At 38.4% G+C, this 24,257-nt stretch overlaps 1 protein-coding gene across 40 annotated transcripts in view; it reads left to right on the forward strand.

Annotated features, from left to right (window-relative positions):
* CNTN4 (contactin 4) overlaps window positions 1-24,257 on the forward strand; it is a 959,094-nt gene that overhangs the window by 776,056 nt on the left and 158,781 nt on the right. For 38 of the 40 annotated variants that reach the window (XM_017005783.2, NM_001350095.2, XM_047447536.1 and 35 more), the window contains 2 exons: window positions 8,224-8,326; window positions 12,119-12,303. In XM_017005783.2, the coding sequence (XP_016861272.1) occupies window positions 8,224-8,326; window positions 12,119-12,303 (288 nt within the window). Of the gene's footprint in view, window positions 1-8,223; window positions 8,327-12,118; window positions 12,304-17,298; window positions 17,340-24,257 lie in introns of those variants that run through there. The other 2 variants (NM_175613.3, NM_001206956.2) reach the window with 1 other exon arrangement.

The raw sequence follows: 24,257 nt of genomic DNA on the forward strand, positions 1-24,257 counted from the left end.
GCTAATTCCTAGATTCTCTATCATTTTTGCTGTTACAGTAAGTTGTGCTTATCCGTTTGTTTTTGTTTGTTTGTTTTTTGAGATAGAGTCTGTCTCTGTCACCCAGGCTGGAATGCAGTGGTGCGATGTCAGCTCACTGCAACCTCTGCCTCCCAGGTTCAAGCAATTCTCTTGCCCCAGCCTCCCGAGTAGCTGGGATTACAGGCATGTACCACCATACCCAGCTAATTTTTGTATTTTTAGTAGAGACAGGGTCTCACCATGTTAGCCAGGCTGGTCTCGAACTTCTGACCTCAAGTGATCCTCCAATCTCGGCCTCCCAAACTGCTGGGATTACAGATGTGAGCTACCATGCCCGGACAGTTGTATCTTATCTTTAATCACATTATCTAATTAGTTGTTGCTTATATATGGAAGGTACTGTTATTCTTGTGATTCAGTATTTGGCAAGCTTGCTGAAATTTCTTGTAGTTCTAATAATTTGTCTGTTGATTCTATTGATTCTCTCAAACTTTGCTATCTTCTGCATTTCCTCTAAGCCAAGGATCAGCCAACTAGTATTTATGGGCCCACCACCTATTTTTGTAAATAAAGTTTTATTGGCACACAGCCACTCCCATTTGTTTACCTTATGGCCATGGCTGCTTTCCAGCTACAATGGCAGAGTTGAGCAGTAACAGGGACTGTATAGCCCACAAAACCTAGATAAAATTCTTATTTTCTGGCCTTTTACAGAAAAAACTTTGTTAACCCTTGACAAAATGATATCATTAAATATCTGAAGACTGTCCATTAAAATACTTGTTATTTGTGGCTCCAAAGACTTGAACTGGGACCAACACGTACAGAGATAGAGTGTTTAGTTCAATACAACATGGATACATGGATAACTTTTTAGTAGGAAAAACATAGGAGTACTTCCTTGAAGGAAGGTGAAAATTGGCTTAAAAGATGACATTATAACTAATTGCCCAAACTGGAAACTATTAGCTCATTACTTCAGGAATTCAGGAAAACCAGTACCGTCCAGCGCAAGCAGAGGTATTTGGCCTCTCTGCCTTTAAATGAGACAGTCTTCTTGAAAAAGGTTATCTCTGCATTTTCAATATTGAAAAGGAAGGAAGGTGGTGCAGGTTTGATTAAAGTCAAATCATAAGATTTATTTTCATCTCTCACAGGTTTCTGAGGACACCTTAAAACCTTGACTGTAAGAGGTGATGTGACACCTTGAGATACCTTGCCTCTCCTGTTCAGCAGTGGGGAGGTTCTTGTCTCAACAGTTGTTGCCCCATACTCTGGGAATTCACCTACTGGATGGTGGTGGTGGTAGAGAAGATAACTTGGACAGTCCACTAGACTACATATATCTCCTTCAACCCAGGGGAAAACATGCCTTTTTTCAAAAGGGCAAAATGGTAAACTCAGTCAGGTGAATTTGTGTGACTAATTGGATATTTCCAAATGTTTTTAGGTTAGTGATATATACATCATATGACTTGTTTCTCAAGAAAGTCAATGTGGAACTTTTCATAAAACAATTTTTGCCTTTTTTTTTCAGGAGAAAATCCCACTCTGTGGAAGTTAGTAAATGTCCCTTCTGTAGTTAAATTTAGTAAGCACAGATGCCAGCTAAGGCAGGTGTTGGCAAAAATCTTATGGCACGCAACTCTGCAAACTGGTCTCCTTCTGCCAACAGAGTCTCTGCAAATTGTACTTAAACAAGCACGATGTGTTGCTGATTTCTCTTTCATATTCTCTAAATTGCCAGTTGTTTTGTTAAATTCTGTGTTCTTACAGACATCAGCATCAACTTTAATAATTGTCCAGGTTTTGAAGGAGATACAGTTGCCACAAGTTCTTCTACAGAGTCCAGACTCTGGATGGACTTGGTCCCTCAAGTTGGGACTCCATTGCTAGTACTCTCCCAATGACTAGCCCTTAAGATATGTTTATTAATGTTAGGTGGAACTTCTTGCTTTTGCTCATAGTTAGGAAAGTTGTTCTTAAAGTGTATTCTTCAGACCAGCAGCATCAACATCACCTTGGACTTCTTAAAATTGCAAATTCATAGGCTGCATCTCAACTTACTAAATCAGAAACTCAAGCCTTTCAGTTGATTTCAAGTTTGAGAACCATTGTTTTAGGAAAAATACTTAAGAACTGCCAACCGTGTCTTCCTCATGAAATCACCTCTTTTGGTTATTCAATAAACAGTTATTGCCTGCATGTGCCCCATTACTAAGCCATGTGCTGAAAAAGAGTAGCCTATGAATGTCATGAATATAAGGATCAGATCTGTGTTACCACAGTGTGCCCCCATTTGTGGGCACTGCATATGGCTTATTATTGGTGTCAAATGAATATTTACTTATTTAATTTATTGGAATATTAATACAACTAAGCCCCTGTCTTCTAAAGACTTTGATATATGGAATTTCAAGTGCCGTAACCTTCATTACTATTGTTGTATCTCTCTTACTCCAAAGAATATAAAACGTTGGCAATGAATTATAATGAATTAAGACATTTTTACTTTATGCATAAAATTATGTTAGGTGTTTTTATTTAGATTTGAAAGCAAGAGTTGTCTTTACAGGCAAATCATGTATTTCATATAGCAGAAAAGTATGGCTGAGGTTGTATATTTTGGTTGAACTAGACTAAATTATATGTGTTCCTTACTTCTACTTTGCCTTGGTTGTGTAGACCTGGGTAGGTCTTTACATCTTCCCACCTTTTTTAATAGTTCGAAGATGAAAAGGGGGTTCTGGAGCAATTCCATCAATGTTCGCACTCTTTTAGCCTACTTCTGTAAATCACTAGAGCAGCTGTGCACCAATTAATTGCAAAAGCGTACAGGTGGTCAGCAGAATGACTTGATAAATGCACTCTTATTTTAAGGGGCCTTTCATTTCTTACAAAACAAAAAAGGAAACAGCTTTTAAATTTAATGCAGAAAGTAAAGGCCAAAATAGTTAAAATAAAAAAATTAGTCAAATAACAACATATCCTGTGCTAGTTGTAACCAAATTAAATGGAACAGTTCACAGGTGTTCCAAAACGATGTTCATAATATTGTTGAAGAAAATTGCTTCTCTTGTTTTTATGACTTTAATACTAGGCCAATCTTTATATACAGTGAAAAATTTTTAAACAGCAGTGAAATGATGCCATTCTATCTCTGATCCTTCTCTTTATGTACTGTACTACTGCCATATATACACATTAATCTATTACTGATGACTCTGTTATTCACGTTCCTGTAGCCATAAATATGGATCACTGTGTATCAATCCAGAAATCACTCACTCTGTGTGACTAGATAAACAACATATACAGATCATTTTAGTAAAGAATGATCTTAAGTGAGTGAACTTGTACTAGAAGCTATAATTATACTTAATAAATGACTTCTATGCCTGGAAAGAAGTATATGTTTGACTTAATGGCTATTATATATCACAGCATAAACACTGCATTCCTACATCTTTTCCTCCCTTCAACAAATCCTTACCCATCACATTTTTTCCCATATTACTGGTATTGGGCTAAGATTTGTGAAGGATACAGAAAAAAATGAGAAGAATTTCTATCCCTAAAGCAGGTAAGAGAACAACAGAAGAGATGCTCTCTGTGTGTGTGTGTGTGTGTGTGTGTGTGTGTGTGTGTCTTTCTGTCTGTCTGTCTAGCTAGCTAGCTATAAAGATGATAGAAAACAGCATTGCTATTTAAGAGGTACCCTGAAGTTTATATGTAAAATGTTTTATGTCAGTAGTTACTCACTGAACACCTACAAGTGAAGAGCCTGCAGTGGAAGTTAGGAATATAGCTATGAAAAAGACAGACGCATTATTTGGTGTAATATGTTTTGCCATCTAAATGGAAGGCAGACACTAAACACATGAATAAACAAGAGAATTATAAATTGTGATAAGTAACATGAAGCAAGCAAGACAGTAGTAGAGAATAACTCTACTTGGTGTGGGCATGAGAATATGCCCACACAAAGACTTGCAAGTAAATGGTCATGGAAGCATTATTGGTAATAGCTAAAAGTGGAAGCCACCCAAATGCCCATCAACTGGTGTTATGGGTTGAATTTTGTCCCTCAAATAGATATGGTGAAGTCCTAATACCCAGTGCCCCTGAATGTAACCTTATTTAGAAATAGAGTCATTGTAGATGTAATCAGTAAAGATAAGGTCATGGTAGGGTAAGATGGGCCATAGATCCAATATGACTGGTGTCCTTCTAAGAACACAATGGGAAGACACACATACACAGAAAGAATGTCACGTGACAACCGAGGCAGAGATGGACTGACATGACTATAAGCCAATGAATGCCAAGGATTGACAGCTACCACCAGAAGGTAGGAAGGATTCTGCCCAGAGTCTCAAAGGGTGCATGGCCCTGTCAACACCTTTATTTATGACTTCTATCCTCTAGAACTGTAAGAGAATAAATTTCTTTTGCTTAGGGCCACTGAGTTTGTAATGCTTTGTTAAAGCATCTCTAGGAAACTAATACAACCAGCGAATGGAGAAGGAAAATGTGGCATATCCTACAGTGGAATATTATTCTGCAATAAAAAGGAACAAACTACTGGTACCTGTTACAACATCGATCAATCTCGAAAACGCTATGTTCAATGAAAGGAGCCAGGCACAAAAGACCACATATTGCACAATTTAATTTATAGGAAATATTCAGAAAAAAAGCAAATGTACAGAGACAGAAAGCAGATTAGAGGTTTCCCAGGGCTGAGACTGGGAATGGGGATTCATTGTGAATGGGCATGAGGGATCTTACTGGGGTAATGGAAATGTTCTAAAACTAGATTGTGGTGATAGTTGCATGACTCAGCAAATCTGCTAAAAACCATTGGATTGCACACTTAAAATTGGTGCACTTTTTAGTATGTAAATTATACCTTAAAAACTTGTTTTTTAAAAAAAATTATCAATGGAAACAGACAAAGGTAGAAGTTTTTATCATTTGGGTCATTTAAAGACCATTGTGGGCTAGAGAGTAGGGCCTACAGAGGAGAGGGAAAGGCAGGCAGTAAGTAGGTAAAGGATTCTGGGAGAGAAAATGTTCAGTTTGGGCCTAAATAGATAGGATTTTAGGACGCGGAGATAACAGTTCAGGGATCTGGGACATTGCATCTCTGCGTTGCCAGTGATATTTTAGTTCTTTCAAACAAGGTTGTGTGACATATATTTGCTCCTTGGTGGAATTTTCATGATCAGATTAAATAAACACAATTTTATATGTGATATTTATAGACAGAGAGAGGCTGGGAAAAAACCTGACCACTTCTAAGACCTCCTTGGCTTTTGTATTCTAACCTTATTGTCTCATCTCCCTCTAACACATGATACACTGCAAGGCAGGCTGTCTTGATTTCCTGGGAAGACGAAAGACCTCCTTCTCTCAAGGCAATTCTTTTTAATTAACACTGCTCTCAGAGTATACAGCCATATACACAGCACTAAAAGGTGTTAACTTGCTCACTGCGCTCAAAGTCATACTACTGATATTTATGGGATGATGATTCAACGGTACGGGCTGTTTGTTAGCAAGTTCAACAGCTGTGTGTGAATGTTGTTGTGAGTATGCACTGAGTCTTTACCAGGCCAGCTTTGTGCAGATGCTGAAAGAAAGGCCAGCCCAGACTCAGGGGCAAGAGAACTCAGACAGCAGAGGCTAGCCCAGAAAGGAGGAATAATTTTGTAACCGAACATGTCAAGCATGAGTGTAATGTATTTGAACCTACTTTTGTAGTGTTATTCATTTCGTGGTGAGAGGCCTTCGTAAGAGATTAAGATGAGGAGTCAGGGGCCTGAGTTTCAACACCGACTGGTTTTCTGTGGGACTAAAGATAAACCGTTTAACTCTTGAGATTACAGCCTTGCTTGTAAAAGAAAGGGATAGATTAGAACTGTGATTTTTAACCTATGGAGGGATAAGCGTCCCTTCAAGAATAGGTTGCTAGCCGTGGATCCTCTCTTTAGAAAAATGTGCATCCAGGAGGAAATTAATACCCAGATTAAGGTTGCTGAACCAAATGATATCAAAGGTCCCTTCCAAATCCAACACTCCTCATCATTCCAGGAAAGGAAGAAAAATGAAAACAAGAAGAAGAACTATTATGTTCGAGTTTGCACTATTGACAACATACTTTATAGCAAAGTTAGCTAGACTGTAAGTCATCAGACACCCAGGGTTGATTCTGTTTCTCACAGTTTGAGGAGATCCTCTTGATGCTTCTCAAACTCTGAAATGGCTGATGAAAAGGGTCACCTCGGTGGGGTGCGGTGGCTCATGCCTGTAATCCCAGCACTTTGGGAGGCCGAGGCAGACAGATCACCTGAGGTCAGGAATTCAAGACGAGCCTGGCCAACATAGTGAAACCTCATCGCTACTAAAAATACAAAAAGTAGCCATGCATGGTGGCACGTGCCTGTAGTCCCAGCTACTTGGGAGGCTGAGGCACAAGAATTGCTTGAACCCGGGAGGCGGAGGTTGCAGTGAGCCAAAATTGTACCACAGCACTCCAGCCTGGGCGACAGAGCAAGACTCAGTCTCAAGAAAAAAAAAAAAAAAACAGGCAAGGGCCCACCTCTGCGAAGTGAGTGAAATCATTTCTCTTTGTGATTGCACCTGTCCCCCATCCAGTGAGTGAAATCATTTCTCTTTGTGATTGCACCTGTCCCCCATCCAGTGAGTGAAATCATTTCTCTTTGTGATTGCACCTGTCCCCCATCCAGTGAGTGAAATCATTTCTCTTTGTGATTGCACCTGTCCCCCATCCAGTGAGTGAAATCATTTCTCTTTGTGATTGCACCTGTCCCCCATCCAGTGAGTGAAATCATTTCTCTTTGTGATTGCACCTGTCCCCCATCCATTTTTTGTCTTTAACCTTTCCTTCTAAGGTTCAGTCTCTTTTTCCTCTGACTATGGGAAGCCTAAAGGAGAGATGAAATGGAGAGCCCTATCTTTTTATAGTAAGCCAGGTAATTCCAAACTCTTTATGGGCACAGTTGAATCAAAGATCATAAAAACTGATCAGAGATGGAATAAGAATAAATGTATTAGAACAATTAGAGCAGTGGCAAATTGAGTCAAGCATGTATTGATAAGAAATAATTGATAAGGCCAGGAGCAGTGACTCATGCCTGTAATGCCAGCAATTTAGGAGGCCAAGGCAGGTGGATCACTTGAGGCCAGGAGTTGGAGACCAGCCTGGCCAACATGGTGAAACCCCGTCTCCACTAAAAATACAAAAAAATTAGCTGGGCATGGTGGTGCACAACTGTAGTCCTAGCAACTCGGGGAGGCTGAAGCAGGAGAATCGCTTGAACCCGGAAGGCAGAGATTGCAGTGAGCCAAGATCCTGCCACCACACTCTAGCCTGGGTGACAGAGCGAGACTTCGTCTCGAAAAAAAAAAAAAGAAAAAGGAAGAAAGAAATAACTGATAAGTATTTAATTGCAAAGCATGGACTTAGTTTGTTAGACTGTGTTACCTTGGGCATAATTGTAGAGTCATTTTCCGGGATATAGGAAAAGTGGGAGAATATGACCCTCCAAATAAGTGTGCCATTGGCAAGGTAGGTGTAACTTAAATGTTTTCTGTAGCTGTATCTTGTTATTCTTTTTTCACAGGTCCAAAATGTAATAAAAATACAGGCATTTGATGTTACCTTGAATATACTAATTTATGATTCATTTATATTGGCCTTGGAAATGAAAGTAAAAGTTGTGGCCACAGAATGATTACTCAGAAGAATTATTTTATTATATAGACATAATTAAGCATGCAGGTATTTTTGAGTACTTTTATTAATAAATCTTACAAATTTTTCTGCAGTATACTTCCAAAGAGATAATTTAATTTTCCTGATGACTAGCACTTCATCCCCTTCTCCTTTTTTTCCTTAAGACTACCTTAAAACAATACTTTTGAGGGGCAAAGTTGTATGCATGGAGAATTTAATCCAGGCAAATGGTGTGGTTCTGCGACACAAATTTTTCTGTAGCAGTAACTGGGAGAAGAGCCACAATTCATGACTGCTGGAGATAGGACCTGCTTTAAATGAAGGAATTAATTGTGCACATAATGATGTGTATAAGCATTCTGCATTAACAGAAAAATGAGTTTTACATTTTATACATTTTAAAAGAATCTCCAAGACTTAGCCCCTTTATTTATTCACAGGAGTGATGGGTGAATATGAGCCCAAAATAGAAGTGCAGTTCCCAGAAACAGTTCCGACTGCAAAAGGAGCAACGGTGAAGCTGGAATGCTTTGCTTTAGGAAAGTAAGTTCTGGTTTGCGTTCCTTCTCATCCTCCCTTCAGCTTGAGCAGGTATAGAGTTTTTCTTGCACTGTTCACAGCGATGGTTTCTGAGGTGACGGAAAAGCAAGTGAAGCCTTTCTCTTTGTAATTCTGTGTATGCATCTTGGATTCTGCCCCTCACCATGGAGAGAGGACATGTAATGGTGCAAGAAGGATTAGGCTGCCACAACTGACATGACCACAAAGGAAAGGAGAATGGGCAATTCTGAAAAAGTATTTTGTTCTATTATCATGACCTGTAATGTGCATGCTGTCTAACCCAGAATGACAGGAAAACAATGGCCTCCACTTGAGGTACAGTTAAGCTGACTATGTGGAAAAATACGGACTTTCATTTTGGCCCCAGTTTATAGAGGATGCATCAGACTTTTCTTGAATTTCTTTTTAAACTCTCAGTCTCTTCTCTCTACTTTGGATTTCCTTCTCCTCTGGCTAGAGATAGGTAAGACGTGTTGTTCTCTAAGAGAGTCTGTTTTACAAAGTTGTCCAAATATTGTTTACAACTTTATTATTCAGTGTGGACTTCCTTGAGAAAAGCCTACTTCTAAACTAGCTAACTTTTCCTTACAGAATATATCAGACAGCATAAAGAACATGAAATGCACATCATTTGGGATTTTTATTTGCCAGTAACCAGCAATAAAGATTTGGCATAAACAGTATAAACTATTATCTGAAGTGAGAATTTTGACATCTTCTTTGGATTTTAATGATCCGTGTCAATCTTTATGCCCAGCCCCATCTATCTGACGAATCCATTACTAACTCTCTTTTTCCTGCGCCCAAATGTTGACTAAGGCAACAACAGTAACTTTTTTTTTTTTTATTTTTCGGTAGAGGCAGGATCTGCGTATGTTGCCCAGGCTAGTCTTGGACTCCTGGCCTCAACTAATCCTCCCACCTTTGCTCGTCTAAGTGCTGGGATTATAGTCCCTAGCCACTGAGCCAGGCAACACTAACTCCACCAATCCTTATATCAGCGTGTAATCTCTTTTCTTATGATTTTTGTGTTTTACAGCAATCATAGAAGAGGTTCCTTTTTCCATTTTATTGTCGGTTCTAATAGAAAGGTTGTTTTGGTTTCCATGTGTTTTCAAGTCGTGACAAATAAGCTACAGTCGTATCTTTACTTTGGTACAGTACAATGCAGTGGTAATTTTTTATGTCCTGAAAACTTATCATATTAAATAAATTAAGACATAATTATAGGATTGAACACTCTACAGACATTAAAAGTCAAGTTGCAAAACAACATTTAAGACATAGAAAATGCCCATGCTAAGAGAACAAAAGCAGATTGCTAACAGGATAATATGATTACACTTTTTATTTTTATTTTAAAGTATTTGTGTATAAGCATTTATATATATGAAATTAAAGATGAGAGCAGGTAACTGGGTAGTCTAGATATACATTTGATGAATTTTTTAAGATGACACCTTGAAAAATCATCTGTGAAAAAGAGCAGAATTCACGTTGTTCACACTTCAAAGGGGGTTATGAATTAAACTCTATTCACACTGTTTGAATAGTGCTGGAATAAAAACAAAAATCCCAAATTGGCTTCTTCAGTCTACACAGAAATGTTTGGGTATGCACATCCAGCTGCTGAAACACATCATCACTGCCCACTTAAGAGCAGGAAGACTACATCTCAGTATGGTTATTTTTAAAGGCATATATTAAGTGCATATCTCATCAGTATAAAGACACCGATTATGTACTTTTCATAGACCTTTTCTGCATTTTGAGTTAGTGTCTGTCTAACGAACTTAAATTCTTCTAAAACAAATATAGTAGAGTTGATGGCTTTAATGTTTTAAATACCATCTCAGGTTTCCCAGAGAAGATTAGCAAGTCTTTAGTCTAATTACTTCTCTGTGTGTGTATTTGTGAAAAATAAATAAGTAAATAATTGTATCCCCTGCCAGGCAGCCACAATCTTAAAAGCTGTGGTTAGCTCACTAAACCATTGATTTGCAGATTCAATGATGCCCTCTCTGCAATTTAAGATTTGTTCCAACAGTTATGGCAGTAGGATGATAGATGCCTTGAGAGTACATAAAGACCTCACAGATGGCATCTTTCTTTCTCTCACTATTTTAAGCGAAGTTTCCCCAACCCATCTTGCAAATGGACTGCTGTAAGTTGGTAAGGTTCTCAATATATAAATGACAAGGAGAAAAACCATGTTGTCCAAAAGAATGTACCTTGAGTGAACCCTTCCTGTATGTCAGCAATAGGTTGTGTCTCCCAAATTTTATGAGCTCATTATTTCTACTATCATTTATTCATTATTTGGATATTTCTCAAAGTAGGGCACTTGCATTGTTGGTACATAGATTTATGGAAATATATTGTTTCTGTTATCTATTGCTACATAACCAACTTAGAGGGAACACCAGAATTTTATTATATCTTACAATTTGTGGGTTAAGAATTCAGGCAGGGCTTGGCTGGCTGATTCTTTTGCTTTTAGTGGCATCCTTCAGGTCTTTCAGTAGTATTTAGCTGACAGATGAACTGGTCTAGAAAGCTCACAAGAGTCTCACACACATTTCTGGTATTTTGTTGGGGACGTTGGAAGGCTGGTGTCACTGAGACTGTTATCTGGAAGCCTTACGTACGGCTTCTCCTTCCTGGCGGTCTCAAGGTATTCACTCTTCTCGTAGGACAGCTCAGGGCTGCCATGAGACAGAAAGCAGAAGCTGCCAGTTTCTTAACACCTGAGCTTTGATCCTGCAACATCACTTCTGTCTTATTTATTAGTCAAAGTGGTTAAAAAGCGCTACCAGATTCAAGGGGAGGGGCCATAGACCTCATCTCAATGGGAGGAATGTGAAAGAATTTGCAGCTATCTTTAATTTGCCACAAATGCACATGAACATTTTTATTTTCATATTTTTTATTTAGAAAAAAACATGTATGGGTGAAACCTTGTCTCTACTAAAAATACAAAAATTAGCTAGGCATGGTGGCGGGCGCCTGTAGTCCTAGCTACTTGGGAGGCTGAGGCAGGAGAATCACTTGAACCCAGGAGGCAGAGGTTGCAGTGAGCCAAGATTGCGCCACTGCAATCCAGCCTGGTGACAGAGTGATACTCCGTCTCAAAATAAAAAAAAATATATTAAAAAAAAAAGAAAAGCAAAAAACATATGAGGAAACATATATAACATATAAAAATCTGTTTTTATTTCAATGATGATATTGTATAGGAGATAGATCACTTTTTTTTTTTTTTTTGAGACAAAGTCTCGCTCTGTCGCCCAGGCTGGAGTGCAGTAGTGCGATCTTGGCTCACTGCAACCTCCGCTTCCCAGGTTCAAGTGATTCTCCTGCCTCAGCCTCTTGAGTAGCTCAGATTACAGGCACCTGCCACCATGCCCGGGTAATTTTTTTGTATTTTTAGTAGAGACGGGGTTTCACCATGTTGGCCAGGCTGGTTTCAAACTCCTGACCTCAAGTGATCTGTCCGCCTCGGCCTCCCAAAGTGCCAGGATTACAGATGTGAGCCATTGCACCCTGCCAGATCACCTTATTGAAAGTTAAGAAAAGTTATTTGATTTTAAGAACACTAAATAAGTAATGCTAGAGATGTGGATATGATTAAAGTTATAATGGAGATAGAGGAATGAATGAAGTTTGCAAAACACCCAACCTTATATGTGTAGAACCAAGAAGGAAGCGTTTAGGTTCAGATAAAAGGTCCAGTTTTCTCTAGTTTGATTCACTCCTTTTTATTCTTGCTATCAGTCCAGTACCAACTATTATCTGGCGAAGAGCTGATGGAAAGCCAATAGCAAGGAAAGCCAGAAGACACAAGTCAAATGGAATTCTTGAGATCCCTAATTTTCAGCAGGAGGATGCTGGTTTATATGAATGTGTAGCTGAAAATTCCAGAGGGAAAAATGTAGCAAGGGGACAGCTAACTTTCTATGGTAAGTGTATGATTTCAGTTTATCATTTATAGTGCTACAGAACTTCCTGATATTGAAATCATAAGCTGAGAGGCATTCAGGCATTTTGGGAGAGATGGTGCAGAATAGGACTGTGTGAAACTCATGGTTTGCTCCATAATCAGCCCTGGTTGATTCTGGGTGTGGAGAGTGAGGGTGGGGGGCAAGGGTGTTGACGGAGCAGAGAGGAAGACATTAGGCTGATGTGTTTGGAGGATGGGTATTAGTGTGAACACACTTGCAAAGAAGTCTGTTTTTCCTCTTTGCATCAAGCTGTAAACCTGACACAGGAAACGTTTTATTATTCCTACTCCTGATTTATCTTTTTTTTTTTAAGCTCTGTGCTTTTCTTCATTAGAATTTTGATTTGAGGCTTGTGCTAATCTTTTGTAATTGCTCCTATTTGTTAGCAATTTAATGTGGTACCATGAACATTTCAAAATGCACACTGTCCAAATTTAGTTCTTATCAGAGTGGAACGTGACAAATCTCTCTCACCCCAAAGACTTTTTATGTGCAGCTGCTCCTATTCCAATCAAATCATCAGCATTGATCCAAACAATATAAATGTAAAACCACTAGCACATGGTCATTATTGAGACCATCTTGGAAACCCTGTTAGGATACTGATTTGAAATCTCGAAAAGGATTTCATTGGATAGGCATTTTGAAAGCAAACTGAGTTCTGCCAAATTGGAGCATGCCAGAATCCCATCTGTCTGGGATACAGAAAACAAATACTATAGATTGATAATTATTTAAGAATGGTTTAAACAAACAACAATGCATATTAAAATGATGAGAGTAGTTCTGTAGGGCAAGTTGTAGCAAAAGCTTTAAATGTTCTTATTTCTTGCAGTAATTGATCCCACAAAAGTCTATTTATTTCACTAATTCTTCTTCCAAAGCATTTTGGTTTTAAGATATGACCGAAGTTCTAAGCCCTCCAGTAGACAGAAGGGGACCCCTCTTGGCTAAGGGGGGGCCCAGAGTAACATTGAAAAATGAGTTCTTGGCCATGATGGGAGGGTAATGTCAGACACATCTAGTTATACCTGCTCCCTTGCTAACCGCAATGAGCCTTTCTTCCCTAAGGGCTAAACACAATCTAGCCCTTTGAAAAGACTCCATCACTGACATCAACCATGCACCTGATGCTGCCCCTTATTTTTTGCCTGATAAGAGACCACCAACACAGAATGGTTCTGTCATTCTAGGGAGGATGTGCCGTGAGGGGTTTCATGTCCTCTGGTCTACCTTTTGACATCACAGGGCCAAAACCTCCACCCTCAGATGCTAATACTGCCATTTTTCATACCCGGAACCCATGAAGGGTTGCACATGCAGATGGTTCTCCTTTCATAAATATCCATGACTCCTCCTGTAGCTTATTAAATATGTATATTCATATTTATATACATATGAATATGTATATAAATTCATGGCTTCTGTGTATGAAATATACATATATTCATATTTATATACATATTTATGTACATATGAAAATATGTATATTTCATACACAGAACCCATGAAACTCAGTTGCACATGCACATGTTTCTTCTTTCATAAATATCCATGATTCCTCCTGTAGCTTATTAAATATGTATATTCGGCCATTCCACTCAGCACAAATTCCTGTTTGTTCCCTTTGCTCCTCCTTGGAAGTGCCTGTTTACAGCTTCTGGCCAAGGGAGGCTACGCTTCCTAGCCTGTCAGAATGGCCACCAGGCAGACTAATAAAGCTCTCCCTTCCAAAAAGAAAGAAAGAAATGGAAGGAAGGGAGGGAGGGAGGGAAAGGGAAAAAGGAAGGAAGGAAGGAATAAAAGAAAAAGCTATGGCCAAAGAATTCTGATCGATAATCACGTAACATTTTTTAAATCTTGATTGGAAACTGGGCAGAGATTTCCACTATGAGCCAGCCTTCAATGACCTCCCCTAAGTGACTCTCAGCATTTCATTTTGGACTCACGTTCCCCTGATGCAGCTTCTGAGGGGAGAGAACACACAGAGTTGTAGAAAGTATTAATACTTCACTTGATGAGCTGGGCAGTAGCTGTTTGAATACATCTGCACTTCTCTTTTATCATTCGTCTGTCTTCAAGAATATTAAAGGACTGACTCTCCTCATGCCAGATGACAGACTTGATATTTAATCTTTGCTTTCCTCTTAAACTGTCATAGTTGGTATCTTAGTTGATGGGTTGTAAAGCAAAAGACACCACAGTTAACTGACTGCAAAATCATGAGACTGTAAATTACAGATTTATTCAGTGAGATGCTATGGCTGTGTATTTTTAACTGTGTAGGGCTCGTTTTTCTCACCAATGTAATAATTATTTTTTCTATATCAGATAGGAACAATCTGTAAATATTCAGATAATTGGCCAACATTTTCTCTTTTTTCTTGGTTGAATAGTCTCTTCAGTTCAGTGGTGGCTGTTCCTAAATGTTATTTGAGTAGCTTAACTAATTGAATAAAGTCATTTTAACTTTCATGATTTTCTGTTAACTGAAATTCCTGCTCTCAGTATGTTAAACTGGTATGAAATTTTCTGCAACCAGGGGTCGGCATACTGCTTTCCTGTGGGTTAGAGGTTTCCTGCACTGGAAATACAGTACTCCAGGATTACTGTTATGGAAAATCAACTTTGTCACTGGCTCCCAGCCCTGTGCAGGGAAATGTTTTTTTCAGGGATCCTGCCCTGGAGATGAAAATCAGGTTCTAACAATGTTTCCTTTTTAAATGGAGTTATCTGCAGCCATGCATGGGAAAAAGAGCAGAATAAAATAAAATTTGCCTGCTTTCTGAAGATAACTCAGCCTTAGCTCACTTGTCAGCCACGCTTGGTGTTAAAAACTTGTCAGATCAGTTGACTTCCACAGCACTTGGCTATTGCATTTATGTTTATTCTTTTGTTTTTCCTCATCTAGCACATCAGTGACAAAAATTATCTAATTGTTTTCATTGTCACAGCCACAGGAGAGCTTAATTATACATAAGCACTTGGCTGTCATCTTTTTTCCTCTCACTTTTTTCTGGTCTGGGTCTTCCCAGTGCTGTGTTCCTAATATCCAGCTGCATAGGTCTCCAATTTAAATGAATTATGATAATTAAAATCACCATGTAGATGATAAAAGGTGAGAAAGTACCCCAGTCACTTATCCATGAACATTCTGTCTTTGTTGACAAGAATTTCTTACAACCTAGGAATTATAAACCATGGGTTTGAGCTTAGAAACCTGCTTCTTTGGGTTCCAGGTTGTTTATTGCATTCATCAGCTCTCCACTTCAGCAACCAGAAGTGTGCTAACTCCTATTCAGGGTTGGCAAAATGGCAATTTTTTTCCTTCTTGCATTAAAACCATTTTGCATTAAAACCATTTTGCCTTCTTTCAAAAGCCTACTAGGCATGATGATTGTTCCCAGTGTCTGAATAATGGAAGCCCTATTGCCCTTTGGTTTGTCCCTACTGTAGCCATGTCTTTAAGTTACCCTGTGCTACTCATGTTTGGTATGTATGAAGAACTGAAGCAAGTTCAGAGATAGAACATTTTTACCCTACCCCATCTTCCCAATTTGTTTTTGCTATAACCTGTACGGTCTAGTTGAATCTACTTTTCTCAGTCTGTTTTTGGCATTAAAAACTTCCTAAAAATAGATTTATTTTCAGTGGTAAAATGCTATGGATCTCTGTTACTAAAGATAAACATTTTCCAAAATGACTTTAATACATTATTTACTTGTTTAACAAATTTTTTTTTATTGCCTACCATGTGGGAGACATTATCAGGCACTATGGCTGCAAGACAAAATCCCTGCCCTCAAGGACCTAATATTTTACTGGAAGTTAACCAAAATGCACTATTAAGCAAATAAATTAACTAGGAAATTTTATTTTTTGGTAAGAGTGATAAAGAAAATAATGAGGTTGATTGGCCAGGTGCAGTGGCTTATGCCTGTAATCCCAGCACTTTGGGAGGCCGAAGTGGGTGAGTCACTTGAGGCCAGGAATTCGAAACCAGCTCCGTCTCTACTAAAATATAAAAATTAGCTGGGTGTGGTGGTGGTGCATGCCGGTAGTCCCAACTACACGGGAGGCTGAGGCAGGAGAATCACTTGAACCCAGGAGGCGGAGGTTCCAGTGAGCCGAGGTTGTGCCACTGCACTCCAGCCTGGGCAACAGAGCAAGACTCCATCTCAAATAAATAAATAAATAAATAATTTGATATGATAGAAAGTAGCTGAGAGCAAGAGAAAGATTTCATAAGATGAAGTAGTCAGGAAAGACTTGTCTGGGAATTGCCCTCTGACCCAAAACCTAAAGGATGAAAATGAGCTAGGCTTTCAAGGGGAAGTGCATTGCTGGCAGAAGGTGAGGAAGTGCAAAGACTCTGAGGCAGAAAACTACTTGACTTTCTTGATATGCAGCAGGGAAGTCAGTGTTAACTAAATCATAGTGAGCAAGGGGCAAAGGTTTGAAACTTGGGAAGGTGACAGACTGCAGTACTTTGTAAGCCAGGCACAGAGTTTGGGTTTTATTCTCTGAGTAAAATGGGAAGCCATTACAGCATTTCAAGGCAGGAGGGTGACTCGATTTGATTAATGTTTTGAAAAGACCGCTCAGGTTGTTTTGTGGTGAATGGATGATTGGAAACCAAGAGCAAAAGCCGGACCATTGCCAATATCCAGGTGAGAGACATTGTTGGTTAGGACGTAAGAGAGGAAGAGAAATGGAGAGACTTGAGATATATTTTGGAGTTAGAGCCAATAGGATATGCTCATTTCATTCCTACATCTGTCTAGTTTATAGATATGGAAATTGAGTCCCAAAGAGATTAAAGTAATTGATTTAAGTTTATACAGTAAAAAACAGAGCTAGATTTCGAATGCTTTGCTAGAGGTTCTGAAACTTCAGTGTGCATCACAATCACTTGGAAGTCTTATTACAACACAGAATTCTGGGTCTCGTTCTATGTTCCCAGTGGGAACATACCAGATGGAGGCTTTGATTTGGTAAGTCCAGGGTAGAACCAAGCATTTGCATTTCTAGTAAGTTCCCAAGTAATGCTGATGCTGCTTGTCTGGGAACCACATAGTGAGAATGCTCTATGTTTAGGTTGTCCACCCATGGTATTGTGAAGCTGAAGATTAAATGACATGCAAGAGAAGGTGTTCCTGCTACTCTGGAAAGCTAACAGCTTACTGTCACATCAGGCATTTTAGCCAGTCTACACAAAGTAGAATGAGAGCGCTAAGGCAATTATCTTTGAAGAAAGGAAAGGGAAATATAAAATGTATTTAATTCACTTGGTAATTATTCATCTTTGCACTTCATTCTGTCTCTGTAGTCACTTCCTTTTTGCCCAAAAAGACTGATAGAATTATAGTCATCATTTAGTAGAATGAAGTGTGAACTACAAGAGCCTGATATTTAATATCTTTGTACAGTTTCTTCTCTTTGTAACAGGTGTTATGAGAGTTAAACCATCTTCATAATTAGGAAATGGGGAATCTAATATTTGAGCAGTAAACAAGGCTGTATTTCACAGAATCCAGTAATACTTAAGCTGGAAGCAACTGCTGGGGCCAACCCTTTGATTTTTATAATTAAGGAAAATAAGATCCAGAGATACAAAATAACTTATTCAAGGTAATGCAGTGAATGGGAATCACAGCTAGAACTGCTTTTTTCTGCTATTCTACCTGTGTTACTTTTCCTGCCAATACAACATTTTAATACAATAGGTAAGGTGAAAAAAATCCATCAATCATCCGGATACTCTTTCTTGCGTTTTCCATTACCAGTGTCACAAATGAAAACATCTGGATGAACAACTGACTTTTTCACTTTCTATTTTCTAAGTTGGTCACCTGGTTATTGAGTCCAAAAAAACCCTTTTTTTCTTCTTCAAATTACATGTAAGACTAAATGTCTAGAGCCTTTGTGCTACAGTCCTTTGCCTCTAAAGGCAAAACTGTAGGCTTGATGACACTGCAAATGGTGTTTGAGTATCTCTAAGGTCATCAATAAATGAATACTTAAGCATCTTACAGCAGAGCATACTAATTCCCCATGGATGTGCTATGTATATGTGATCACAAGATAATATTCAGCCCTGCAAAGAAGCTTAAAGGACAGAGTAACCAAAGACTGAACACAGTACATAAGGTAATTTCACAGTAGGGCAATAGTTTGCTTAATTGTCCTAGACAGAACTGATATTGATACCCTCAATTCCCCTGTCACTTAAGATAAAGTCAACAATTTTTGTTTCTTTCTTTCATCTGATAGTTCCAATAAAGTATGTTGCTACAGTTTTTAAGGGGTACGCATTAAGCAAACGTTGCGAATAATAGAGAGAATTAATACAGGAGTGGAGGCATAAAGTCCTCACCTAATAAGAAACGTTAAGCCATGAAAAAAAGAGTCATATCAAGGACAATATATTGAAATGCAATTCAAGTCATCTCACTCTATAGTCCCAGAGAAGGCAAAATGTCACAGTTACATTTTTTTATTCACCAATGAATATTGTTTAAATTTACTTATAGGAGGTTTTGCTTAAGTTGATTCATTTATCTAGAAGTTCCTCTGCTTGTCTAAGCAGGAGGGCTCAAACTGTTGGTTTAAGGACTCCTTTTTACCCTGAAAAATTATTGGATACCTCAAAGAGCCTTTGTTTATGTGAGTTATATCTACCCATATATGCCATATAATTAATTTAAATGGAGAATTTAACTTAGAACTTAATTTACTTTAAAATAACAAAAATACAACCAGTATATGTTAGAAATAATTAACATAAGAAAACTGACTATATTTTTCCAAATAAAAATATTTAATGAAAAGAGTAGCTTGGTTTATATTTTTGCAAATCTCTGTAATGTCTGTCTTACTAGAATAAAAGTGCATTCTCCTATATACTTCTGTATTCAGTCTGTCATGATATTTTGTTTTGATTGAAGTATATGAAGAAAATATGGTCTGACACATATATAATTGGAAAGAGAGGACATAATGGACTCTCTTAAGGAAACCTGGGGACCTACAATGGTTCTTAGATTGCACTTTAAGAAGGATACATTCAAAAGAATGCTACCATTGTCATTTGTGTTAGGGTTGGACATTTTTTGAGAGGCTCTGGACAGAGAATGGATGTTGGAGCCAAGCAGGCCTGTGTACCATTGCTAACTGAGCTACTTTCTGAATCTGGATGTTAATGTCTCTGGGCCTTACCTATAAAATGAGTACAAGTCTACTTAACCTGAATATTATTATGAGGTTTAGAAATGATGTGCATAAAGTGAAGCTGATTAGATATTCCATATATTAGTAGTTTCCATTATTGGTTGCATTTGGGACTGAACTCAAGGTGTATAAGGGAAAGAGAAGGGGATGGATTCAGCTGAGTAAGAGCAGATTGAGGGAAACACTAGGTAGAGGCTTTGAAGATTAAAAAAATAAAAGAAAGAAATATAGAGAAATGAATCTGTGTAAGGTTAGAGTCATAGCTTGATTGATCTGGGTATAACTGAGTAAATCGGGCCCAACAGCCTTTTTGAAAATCCACATATTGCTGATTTACAATGTTTTTATTCTATAACTCATTTATAAAGTTCTGAACTGACTTATTGGAGTGGAGGACAAAGACCCTTATTCACCAAGAGCTGTGAATTCAATGGGCATAGTTGGACAGAAAGTAAGAGATGTAGGTAAAATCAGATGGCAGAAGACTTCATTTTCATTTATGTATTTGTTAATTTATTTTCGAGACAGGGTCTTGCTCTGTCCCCCATGCTGGAGTACAGTGGTACGATCTCAGCTCACCGTGATTCTCGCGCCTCAGCCTCCTGAGTAGCTGGGACTACAGACAGGCACCACCATGCCCGGCTAATTTTTGTATTTTTAGGAAAGATGAGGTTTCACCATGTTGGCCAGGCTGGTTTCAAACTCCTGACCTCAGATGATCCACCTGCCTCGGCCTCCCAAAGTGCTGGGATTACAGGCATGAGCCACCACACCTGGTCAGATGGCAGAAGACTTTCAATATTAACCTAAAGATATGAAATAATGATAATGTTCTCCTAATTTTCATAACATTTACAGGAGGCAGAGCACATTCAGAAATCTTACTTGTTATCTCGCATACAGATTACTTCCTACAGTTATATTTGCTTTATGTATTCATGAATACCTATTAATAGAAATATGCCAGCTTTGAGTTGCCTTCTAGTGTATCTTCATATAGTTGGTTTTTATATCTGAACTTGAGTTTATCCTTGCTATCCGTGCTATCTGTAAAAGGATTGGCCTATGGGAGATGCCATCTCCCATACCATTGCCAGAAGCAAGTCAGTTGTAACTTATGTGGAGATGAAGAAGCCATAAATAAGAGTGTGTGAATGAAGTACAAATTAACAGAAAAACTAGGAGAACTATGAATCCTGTTGGTTTAAGAGACAATCTAAAGGCTAAAGGTTTCACTTATTAAAATCAAAAGGAGGGGCTGGGCGCAGTGGCTCACGCCTGTCATCCCAGCACTTTGGGAGGCCGAGGCGGGCGGATCACAAGGTCAGGAGATCGAGACCATCCTGGCTAACAGGGTGAAACCCCGTCTCTACTAAAAATACAAAAATTAGCCGAGCGTGGTGGCGGGCGCCTGTGGTCCCAGCTACTCGGGAGGCTGAGGCAGGAGAATGGCGTGAACCCAGAAGGCAGAGTTTGCAGCGAGCCAAGATGGCGCCACCGCACTCTGGTCTGGGCGACAGAGCCAGACTCTGTCTCAAAAAAAATAAATAAATAAAAATCAAATCAAATCAAATGAAAAGGAGTGTTAGACATCATTAGGTCCAAACGAATCTGAATTCAAGGAGAAAACAGGCTTCCAATCCCCAGACTGCATTTCCAAAGCCGTTCTTATAATACAAGATATCAGCCAGTATCAGCAAAGTATGTGTATGTTTCTCAAGGTACTTTTTTTAGCATGAAATTTCACAAGAAATTCTCAATATTTAATACAAAGCAAGGCTGCAGCAAGGAAGCAGCCTTGCGTTGTGTTAAATATTGAGAATTTGAATGAATGTAGAAGGGAGTGCCTTCCAAGAACCCTCAGAGCTTCATGGAATTGAGTTTGAAGACCCCTGTAAGGAGACTGATTGGTGTGTGGGGAGTGGATGAGAGTCTGAAGCCAGAGAAGCACAGATTATCAGTGCTGAACAAACACCAAAGATGGACCTTGCCCTGAAATCCAACATGCATATTTCTTGTAGAGCTGGTCCTTCTTTTCAGTGACTTCTGCCAACTGGAAGTCAGGGGTTTATGAGAAGACTGTAATAATAAACTGGAAGACTCTCTTAAGTAGCATTGGAAAATGACTATTTCTCGTGCCAATACTAGGAACACTGAATTTGAGGTAATATGAGAATTTCTTGATGATTCTGTCAATTGCATAAGAATCCCAGGCAGGAGATAGAGATTTGGGAAGCATCTATGTATATAGGTGGTAAACTAAAGCCAAGTAATTATCTCCAGACTCATAAAGTCTACTATCATTAAAATTCTTCAGCAATGTCAGTGAAACTCCCGCATTCCCTGGAGATGATTCATCTTCTCCAAAATTGTGTCCGCAACCAGAAATAACTGTGAATGTCTACAGGTCATCTTTGTAATAGTAATTTAGAGGGTTTTTTTTTTTTTTTTTTGCTATCACATCCTTTCTTTTATATTTTTAAATTTCTAAGGCCTAAGGCATATGTTGGCATTTCTTTCAGTTAGAAATTTCTGTTTTTAGAAAATCGAAGCGCCAAATACTCCTGAGAATTGTTTGACCCACTGAGTTTAAATTATATCTGCCTGCAATATAAATTATTATTGGATAAGATGCTTGTACAATTCCAGTGGCTGGAATACACAAACGCTGATTTAGGTCATTTCTGGCAGTTATTGAACAAAAGATTGAAATGAAGAGATTGTTTATCTATCCAAGAGACAAAGTGTGTCACAGAGTCAAATCCCAGCACAAGCATTTAACATTATATTTGAATTTGTAGTTTGAGAACAATACTTAAGGAGTCCTAGAAGAATTCTTTTGTTTCAAATCTTGAAAGAATATGGAAGTTCAAAACAGATGGTTCTCTTTTAATATGTGAATGTGTTTAATTCTGCTTAATATGTGGGCTCTGTATATATTACAAAAAAAAAAAGACATTTAGAAATGGCTTCTGAAATAATAGTATTGAACTAACCTGTTCAGGCCTTCCTCTGAGTTGATACAGGTTGAGTATCTCTTACCTGAAATGCTTGGGACCAGAAGTGTTTCAGATTTTAGGTTTTTTAGGATTTTGGAATATTTCGACCCAAGCCTAAACATGAAGTTTATTTATGTTTTAGATATACCTTATACACACAGCCTGAAGGTAATTTATGCAACATTTTAATATTTTGCATAATTTAATGCATGAAACAAAGTTTTCACTGTATTTGACTATGACCAGTCTTATGAGATCAAGTGTGAAATTTTCCACTTGTGGCATCATGGTGGCCCTCAAAAACTTGTGAATTTTAGAGCATTTCAGATTTTAGATCTTCAGATTAGGGATGTTCAACCTGTGTTTAGACATGGAGTTGTAAAATATAGTTGAACCTTGATATTAGGCGATAAATACCCTGTACCCAATGCATTATCACAAAAGGGGAGGGGCTAATGATGTGTCTTATAATATGCTTAACTGGGATTTTTGTTATCTAAGGACTTTGAACTAGGTAACCCCCCCCAAATATGGAGATACATGAGTCATTTTCATCAAGCACATGACTTCATTTATTCTAGTTTGAAAAACTCACTCGTTTAGATATGATTCATCCAATCTAAGTGAGCAGGAGTGAAAACGTTTACTACATGGGCTTTTGCCCTGTAGATTTGCAAATGGCGTGTTAAGATAGACTGTCTCTCTTTGTCACATATATAATATGATACTTCATTTCTGATCTTCATGGGCCCACGTTCAGATATTCACTTTGAGAGGAATATGTTTATATCAGTTCAAATTTGTCTTCTATGAATTAATTTTACTTTAAAAATAAAGAAAGTGCCAGGTGATCTCCCACAGACACTGAATTTTTTGTTGATTTCACCTTGGCCCGCACAAATAACTACCACTGAGTATTCTCATCTGGTTCCTTGACCTCCATAACCCTGTGGGAAGAGACAGAATGAGCCCTCAGAAGTGCTTAACTAGTTAGAGCTTTGCAAGGCCTTTTCAAAATTCTCTCCAGTCCCTCCCTTCTCTGCCTCACCTGCTTCTTGAGATTGCAAGGTTTTGCTTCCAGCTTTCTGCATTTTTGCAAAAAAGCAATAAGAAAGCCCAAGTGTTACAGGAAATCTATGACATTGAAATCTCTCTCTCTGCATGTGATTTTGATGTTTCCTTTTTGAACTTCAACTTGACATTGCTTCATAAGTTACATTTGCCCTTCCATTTTTTTCCTCACTCTCTTTCAAAAGTTTGGCTTCATTGTTAATATTCCTCACATACTTCTGTGGCTTTTCTTGTTTGCTTTGTTTTCATGGACTCTGTAGGGGTCAATATTCAGCAGGTTGAATGTGAAATCAGGCATGCAACTGCATTAGCCATCAAATTCTCCAAGCAGAGAACCTTTTTAGCTTCCTTTGCATTAGCAGCAGGAAGATAAAGAACAAGGAAGACTTGCAGCTCTTTTAAGGGTGTAGGTTATAACCCTTCATTCAAGTTGATGTTTGTTGATGTTCTAAATTTTTTTGAAGTTGACCCTTTTGGCCTCCCCTCATATGCAGCAATGCATCATCCCATCAGTAGAGGATTTGTAAAACTGTGTTTTGCTCGTTGAAAAACATAAAATTGCTTATAGATGAGAAAAGAAAAAAGCAGCATTTATTCAAGGGCCTAGAGACC

The sequence above is a fragment of the Homo sapiens genome, chromosome 3 (assembly GCF_000001405.40).
Source record: "Homo sapiens chromosome 3, GRCh38.p14 Primary Assembly".
Lineage (NCBI taxonomy): Eukaryota > Metazoa > Chordata > Mammalia > Primates > Hominidae > Homo > Homo sapiens.